The sequence below is a fragment of the Homo sapiens genome, chromosome 12 (genome assembly GCF_000001405.40).
Source record: "Homo sapiens chromosome 12, GRCh38.p14 Primary Assembly".
In the NCBI taxonomy this organism is placed as follows: Eukaryota; Metazoa; Chordata; class Mammalia; order Primates; family Hominidae; genus Homo; species Homo sapiens.
This window is the reverse complement of record NC_000012.12, coordinates 33,513,828-33,522,615: the sequence shown is the minus strand read 5'-3', so window position 1 is coordinate 33,522,615 and position 8,788 is coordinate 33,513,828. Positions and strand designations below refer to the sequence as shown.

Below are 8,788 nucleotides of genomic sequence, written 5' to 3'. Positions count from 1 at the left end.
AATTCTGGGTTGAAAATTCTTTTTTTTAAGAATGTTGAATATTGGGACCCACTTTCTTCTGGCTTGTAGGGTTTCTGCCAAGAGATCTGCTGTTAGTCTGATGGGCTTTCCTTTGTTAGTAACTTGACCTTTCTCTCTGGCTGCCTTAACACTTTTTCCTTCATTTCAACCTTGTTGAATCTGACAATTATGTGTCTTGGGATTGCTTTTCTCAAGGAGTATCTTTGTGGTGTTCTCCGTATTTCCTGAATTTGAATGTTGGCCTGCCTTGCTAGGTTGGGGAAGTTCTCCTGGATAATATCCTGAGAAGTGTTTTCCAACTTGGTTCCATTCTCCCCATCACTTTCAGGTACACCAATCAAATGCAGATTTGGTCTTTTCATATAGTCCCATATTTCTTGGAGGCTTTGTTCGTTTCTTTTTACTCTTTTTTCTCTAAACTTCTCGCTTCATTTCATTAATTTGATCTTCAATCACTGATACCCTTTCTTCCACTTGATCAAATCAGCTATTGAAGCTTGTGCATAAGTCAAGAAGTTCTCATGCCATGGTTTTCAGCTCCATTAGGTCATTTAAGGTCTTCTCTACACTGTTTATTCTAGTTAGCCATTCGTCTAATCTTTTTTCAAGGTTTTTAGCTTCCTTGCAATGGGTTCGAACATCCTCCTTTAGCTTGGAGAAGTCTGTTATTACCAACCTTCTGAAGCCTGCTTCTGTCAACTCATCAAAGTCATTATCTGTCCAGCTTTGTTCCGTTGTTGGCAAGGAGCTGCAATCCTTCGGAGGAGAAGAGGCACTCTGATTTTTAGAACTTTCAGCTTTTCTGCTCTGGTTTCTCCCCATCTTTGTGGTTTTATTTACCTTTGGTCTTTGATGTTGGTGACCTACAGATGGGGTTTTGGTGTAGATGACCTTTTTGTTGATGTTGATGCTATTCCTTTCTGTTTGTTAGTTTTCCTTCTGACAGTCAGGTCTCCCAGCTGCAGGTCTGTTGGAGTTTGCTGAAGTTCCACTCCAGACCGTTTGCCTGGTTATCACCAGCAGAGGCTGTAGAACAGCAAATATTGCCGAACAGCAAATACTACTACCTGATCCTTCCTCTGGAAGCTTCATCCCAGAGGGTCAGCCACCTATATGAGGTGTCTGTCGGCCCCTACTGGGAAGTGTCTCCTAGTTAGGCTACACAGGGGTCAGGGACCCACTTGAGGAGGCAGTCTGTCTATTCTCAGAGCTCAAACGCCGTGCTGGGAGAACCACTGCTCTCTTCAGAGCTGTCAGACAGGGATGTTTAAGTCTGCAGAAGTTTTCTGCTGCCTTTTGTTCAGCTATGCCCTGCCCACTGAGGTGGAGTCTAGAGGCAGTAGGACTTGTTGAGCTGTGGTAGGCTCCACCCAGTTCGAGCTTCCCAGCTGCTTTGTTTACCTACTCAAGCCTCAGCAATGGTGGACGCCCCTCCCCCAGCCAGGCTGCAGCCTCACATATCGATTTCAGACTGCTGCACTAGCAGTGAGCAAGGCTCTGTCAGCGTGGGACCCGCTGAGCCAAGCAGGGGAGAGAATCACCTTGTCTGCCGGTTGCTAAGACTTTGGGCAAAGCACAGTATTTGGGCGGGAGTGACCCGTTTTTCCAGGTAGTCTGTCATGGCTTCCCTTGGCTAGGAAAGGGAAATCCCCCAACCCCTTGCACTTCCCAGGTGAGGCGACACCCTGCCCTGCTTCAGCTCGCCCTCCGTGGGCTGCATCCACTGTCCAACCAGTCCTAGTGGGATGAACCAGGTACCTCAGTTGGAAATGCAGAAATCACCCATCTTCTGCATCAATCATGCTGGGAGCTGCAGACTGGAGCTCAGAAAAATTTTTTAATGTTTCTTACTCTCTTCTCCAACTCGTTTTGGTTTTGGTTTTGGTTTGGTTTGGTTTGGTTTTTTTTTCTTTTTTTTTTCCTGTGTTGCTCTATGTTTTGAAGACAACTTAGAGTTCATGGGCCTAGCCAAGCATTTTCTTTCTGTGTATTGAGCTGGGAAGGAAGAAAGCAAAGCTAGAAATGAGAACAAGTAAAAACTTCTTTCCAGCCATTGCTACATTCTTTTAAAGATTTTGACATGGTTATCTGTGCAGGAGATATAAAAAGAAAAAAGATTTCTATAAGCCTGAGGTGTAGCCCTACTACATGAATAACCCCGAGTCATTTCTTATGTAACTCAATCACAGGGAAAGTTAAAATTTTTAAAGCAACAACAGAGTGGTCTGTGTTGAATATCATTGCACCTCCATTGCTTCTACAGAATTTTTTCTTTTTGTCACTAAAGTTAGGAAACAAAGGAGCTAACTAGTTCGAGTCTGTTACTGATTTATCACTGGTTTTTGTTCTATTACTTAAGATTTCTGTGCCTTAGTTCCACAATTATAAAAGTGAAAAAGTGAACATTATTTTCTTGCACAAAATATTGTAAAGGCATTAAAATGTCCTGCACCAAATAAAATATCTGAACAAATAGGGAAATGAACATAAACAATATTGCTAACAACTATTCAGACCCAATGAGATTTGAAATATTACTTGTATAGGAGAGAATAATTGTAACTCGACTTAGCCAATGTTAGAAACATTAAAATTGACAGGATATCATCTTGTCTGACTCAATAATTTCCAATGCAATTGTAAATTTCAAGGACATCTCTGATCCTTTATTTCTACAGTATCTCAAAGTGCCAGAAACATCTCCTTTCAGTCTTAGCAGATCATGATTATGAATGTTTTTTCTTCTATAATTGTGGTTAATTTTGGGTTGGTGTTGGCCTAGAACCAGGAACTTTTGAAAAAATTTGTCTCTTCTGCTCTGACTCTTCTACTTGCTACCCAGATAGCAATGTGTTCCCATGGGATAAAGTAAGAAATATGTGAGCAACTTGGCTTAATATTATATTTTGTTCTATTTTCATCATGGTACATCTATCACACAAAGCAAAAATAACATTTAAAACCTGTTGCTGCATACTTTTTCATGCTGTACATTTTGCATAAATTGGATCATTTCTTCAACAGGGAAATTTGTCTTCTTGAATTTCGAATGTATAAAGAACTTTGATTTAATTAACTATATGAGTCATCATTCTGCATTTATAAATACCGCCTTTTCAAGTACTGAGAGCATCAAAACTGTTCTTTCCCCACTGAAGGACAATAAATTATGAAATATACACTGATGTTACAACATAAGTAAAAATTAGAATTCAGGTATCATTTCATCAGTGATATTCCAAGAATGGATAAGAAACTATACTAAAATGTTTACTGTAAGTTATTACTTCCCAAGATTACTAATTCTTATATTTGATGAAGACTGCTACAAAAATTAAATAATTAAAATCCTCATACAGCTTGCATTCATTTAAAATATGTTCACTAAAAGGTAAGAAATTCACAACAATTACTTAGTATTCTTGTTTTGGTTGTCTTTCTGACACTCATGCCTTTTGTCTTAATCTGAAACTGAAGTCTTTAAAAGAAATTTTATCTCAAAATTATACTATGTAACTATTATAAGTGTCTTGCTAAAGAGAAAAAGTTAACTGCTTTATTGAATACTCTTAAAACTTGTTATTAAAAATATTAGAAATATTCTAATTCTATTAAGTGTAATGATATCACAGAGTTTTATCTTTATCATTTAGCTTATGGCAAAAACAATAGAATGTTTCCATATCATACGTATTTTAATAATCTTGTATGGAAAAAAAATCAGTTTCCATGTCCTGGAAAATCCATTTATTATGTGTAGAGACAGAAAGACTAAGTTTATTAAAGAGGTGTTAAATTTGTTACTATATCTAGATTCCTAATCCATATAAATAAGTGACTTTGTCACCAAATTATAATAGGCTCTTTTTATCATGCTGTGAAAGAATAAAAGAGATATCTTGAGGGTTGCAACAGAAACAGAAATTTCCACAAAGTCATTATAGTGCGAAATACTAACAAAAATTATTGACAAGTTTACCAGTTGTCCATTTATATTTGTCTTATTTAAAATGCAGGACATTCTAAAATAAACTTTTTCCATGTGTTGATTACTTCTTTCCATTAAATTATTTTGTTTCATAATCTATTCCAATGCTCTCTGCTCAGAACTAAAATGAAGTTCCTCTTTACTAAATGTACAGTGGTAAAATGCATTTGAAATATTAGGTTGGTGCAAAAGTAATGGCGGGTTTTGCCATTACTTTTAATCAATTACAACTTTAATCAATTATGACCTTTAAACTAAGGTCTTGTTTTATTATTAATCCCAAGAATAATGCTAGTGCCTTAGAAAATTTTATTAGGAAGGAGGTTGCATTTATCTTATAAGAAGTACTGTCACCACCTAATAGATAGGTTTTACTTATTTATTGTATTATCTTCTTCTCTAAAAGAATTTGATGTCTTCATGTATTGTTACTCACTTGCATAAAATTTTCAGTGATGTACATTTTTCAAAAAATAAACAACTACAAATTACTTTTAAATTATTTTCCTTTTAGAAATTTGCCCTTTTAAGCTTGTATAGTTTTAGTGGCTGTTCTTTCAATCCATTAGTATTAATGTTTATTTTAATGAATTGTTTTTGTCAAATTATTCTATACTGCATATTTTTATTTTGGTGGCTATGTAAAAAAAAAGTAAATTCTGATGTTTCATGTGGAAAATAGGCACATGTATGTGCTTTATTTAGCTCTGCGTCTAACTGGAAAATGTCTCCAGCATTTCATGCTATAAAGCAAGGTGGACTTCATTAATATCTGCCATACCCACCTCAGAGGGCTCTTGGGCAACAATATAACTGTAACTGTTTTAAAAAGTTAAACACCTCTCATTAATTTCCCAACCACAATACTATCATATAATGGATACTATTACCCATTCTCTTGAAAGAGGTAATTTTATGTTGATTTAGCAATCAAGGATACCAATCCTTGTCTTACAGCCATATTAAGGTTTTAATGAACAAAAAGGGGGGAAAAAAACCAGAAAATGTTCTCATCACATTTGAATGCTCCAGTGAGTCTCTGTATGAATTCTAAATATTCATGCATAGAAAAGAAATAGTAAAATAATTGCATTGAAATTTCCCATATGGAAAATATATGTAACCTTGTTTTGATTTATTTAATACATAACATATATATGATGTCTAAATTAGAATATTTTAAATATTGTCAAATTATTTCCCTAAAGGCAAGTCTTAATATAGTATTCTTAATTGCAATCCCTTTCTTAAACAACCTCATTGTTCTTTTAAAAGCAAAATTGTAAATGATAATACATTATCATTTTTGTTAATCAGTCACATACCATACTAAGCAATACTAGGTGCTTTAAATTAAAATCAAGTTCTAAGATGAAGTTTCTCATTTTGAATTTCAGTTATATCCGCAGATGACAGGTAGATAGATAGATAATGATAGAGATGGAAATCTCTCTCTCTCTCTAGAGAGATTCTAATATTGCTAATGTTATATAAATACTTTTAATGTTATATAAATATTCTTACATATGTGTATAAGAATACATATATACATATATAAGAATATACATATAAGGATAGCTAACGTTAAGTGACAGCCAGGTAATCTTTCTGAGAATGTACATCTTCCCCGAAAATTTAGACATGATTTAGTCACCACAGCCAAAATCTAACTTTAAAGATTAGTAACAAAGATGATGCATTTATTCTAATTTTTAGAGGTGAACTACTCAAATAATTTATTACAACCCCCATTTCTTCTACTAAGCCCAGATAGTCTCCTTCTTATACAACTGCCTAGTATCTAAGTTTCCCAAAAGCCTACAATTTGAAGTAGATTCAATGTACCTTAGGCCAAAGTTAAATTAGGTCAAAGTATATTTGGAAGGTCCCGATACTTTCCTGGGGCCACGCTTCCCATTTTCCCTATTCTTCCCTGATTTATATGACCTATGAGCTATATTCCAGCTAACATCCAATCCCTATTCTCCCTCTCCCAATCTTCTTAACTTCCACTGGCTCCAATTCTGCAAGAAATGAAATAATTCTTAAATGGTTACACTAATTAGCCAGTGACAACAAATGAGCTGCTTCTTAAGGATGAAATGGCAATAGAAGGCCTTGTTGTGTGTAACTTGAAGAAATATAGGCAAGTTCAGAGTCTCATTTGTCTTCACATTCACGTAACATAGGTTTCTGTTCTTCACTCTGAGAACATGGTTTAAAAACGGAAAGGCAAGAGTGATTGTGCTCCCTAGGACATGTGGTTCTGGAACAGACATGATGTTTTTCCTGTTTTAAATTTTATTGACTTTATTACATCTTAAACAGAATATTACAAACAATCAGAAAGTGGGATATTTAAGTAAGTATTTTTTTAAGTTTAACTTTCAAAAATGTGCTTACTTTTTATAAAAGGCAGATTTATACCAATAGCTTATATTTCCATTGTTTATATTGAATTTCTGACCATGGTAGCAATGTGATTTATTTAAATGATCCATTTTGAAGTAATTTGAGGCTCTTTTTAGTCAGTGGAAATTTTCATCTCTGGGCAGAGCCTCTTGATATATACCCACCATACATAAATATCATCATAGTTATATTCTGAGATAGGGTTGCATCTATGCACATCTCACTGCCACCTCACCCATGTCCCCTAGGGTTTATACAAATCTTGCCTCTCTGTTTTCTTCAGCTCTCCTTTCATAGGTCCTCATTCAAAAGCTGGAGAAAATTTCCCCATGATTTTAATTGAGTAATCCAAGGACACATGTTAATATCTTTCGGTTTCCAATTTAACCTACAACAATTAGAGCCATGGCACTGGCGTAGTTCAGCTACAGGTGGGCCAAGTCTGGAAAACAGACAACATCCAACATTTCCACAAAAGAAATTTTGATACAGAAAATAGATTACACAAGTTTTGGAGTGTTATAAGACGAAAAGGCGGTGCTCACTGTACGTATCAGCTACCACCCCGAAGTCGGTGGAATAAAAATAAAAGATTTGGTTTCTCAGAAATTAGGAGATCGGAAGTGAGGCTCTGCAAAGTAAGAGCTTAGGTTTTCAAAGGAAAGAAGCATCTTGGTTGCTACTAGTACCTTAAGAGCTTGAAGGGGAGTTCACAGGCCTCTGAGGAAGGGTTAGCAGCACCATCCAGCTTTTACTGGTGCCTTTGAGGGGGCAGAATGAGAGTGATTCTAGAAGTGCACATAAAATGGCTGAAAACAGAAGCCAACTGCCACTCCTGCAGTGATTGCTGCCGCTCAGGTGTGGTAAAGGATGATCAAAAATAAGAGGGAAGACTCTCTCCCTGACTGTGACCCTATATGTAGTGTAACGATTCTTAATTTAGCTGCTCATTAGAATCACTTAATATTTAAAACCCTGATGCCCACTCCACACTTGCAAACAATGAAATCTGAATTTGTGGACATAAAAATTAAGCAATAATAGTCTTAAAAGCTCCAAATGATTCCACTATGCAGCCAAGGTTAAGACCCACAAACCTAGTGCCTCCTACTGGCAGAAGCCCTCTAGTCAATGAATCTGAATAATAGGATTTGCAGTTCCTGCTCCAAAGGAGAGGAGAGAAGATAAAAAGGTGGATTTGGAGCACAGAGATAATATTTAACCAATCACTAAAAATATGACAAACATTTCTTGGCTATAAAGGCCAAATGAACTTGCGGAAATAGTAATAAAGGAAAATTTTAACCATCTATACTGATGTGTACCAATGTGGTTAACATATTGTGTATATATTATCAAAATTATTCAATTAAAAGCTTATATAGTCCAGGGTATATATGTGAAAATATATTTGACTGTATAACAACTCAACTTTCTATAATTTAATCAATAAATGTTTTAACATCATAAAAACCTAGGGGAAAGTCTTCGAGGTATAATAAATATGATTATGTTATCCTGATTATATTAGTTTCCATCATATACTTCTAAAACTGAATAATTTATGATACAAAGCTTTTAAAGTCTAAAATTTTGGCAATTTTAATTAAGAAAAGAACATAGTTCATTTATCTTAATGTCCCAAGCAATAAACCAGTACAAAAATAACCAGAACAATTACAGTAATGTCAAACTTGTAAAAGTTTCAAGTAATATTATCACTTGCAAACAGGTTTTGTATACTGTACAAGTTAACTTCAGCAAAGTTTGAGAATACATAAGCAATGTGCAAAAATTACTAGCATTCCTATACAACAACAATAGCCAAGCCGAAGGCCAAATCAGAAAGGCAATACCATTCACAATTGTTACAAAAAGAAAAAAAAAAACTAGGAATACAGCTACCCAGGAAGGTGAAAGTTCTCTACAATGAGAACTGCAAAACAATGCTCAAAGAATTCAGAGATGACACAAACAAATGGAAAAACATTCCATGCTCATGGATAGGAAGAATCAATGTTATTAGAATGGCCATATTACCCAAAACAATTTACAAATTCAATGCTATTCCTATATAACTACGAATGACATTCTTCACAGAACTAGAAAATAACTATTTTAAAATTCATATAGAACCACAAAAGAGCCCAATAGCCAAGGCAATCCTCAGCAAAAAGAACAAAGCTGTATGCATGACATTATCCAACTTCAAAATATACCCCAGGGCTACAGTAACCAAAACACCATGGTACTGGTACAAAACAGGTGCATAGACCAAGGGAACAGAATACAGAAGCCAGAAATAAGGCTGCACACCTACAAACACTGAATCTTCGACAAAGCTGACAAAAACAAGCAATGGGGAAA

General features: G+C 35.3%; 3 annotated features.

The window, feature by feature from the left end:
• Positions 1,014-1,574: an enhancer, noted in NCBI's record as "H3K4me1 hESC enhancer chr12:33673977-33674537 (GRCh37/hg19 assembly coordinates)". NCBI's record gives its function as "activates a minimal SCP1, AML or CMV promoter by ChIP-STARR-seq in primed H9 embryonic stem cells {active_cell/tissue: H9 hESC(primed)}" and the evidence as "EXISTENCE:reporter gene assay evidence [ECO:0000049][PMID:30033119]".
• Positions 1,014-1,619: a biological region, named in NCBI's record as "H3K4me1 hESC enhancer GRCh37_chr12:33673977-33674537".
• Positions 1,520-1,619: an enhancer, noted in NCBI's record as "active region_6193". NCBI's record gives its function as "activates an Ori minimal core promoter by ATAC-STARR-seq in GM12878 lymphoblastoid cells {active_cell/tissue: GM12878}" and the evidence as "EXISTENCE:reporter gene assay evidence [ECO:0000049][PMID:35858748]".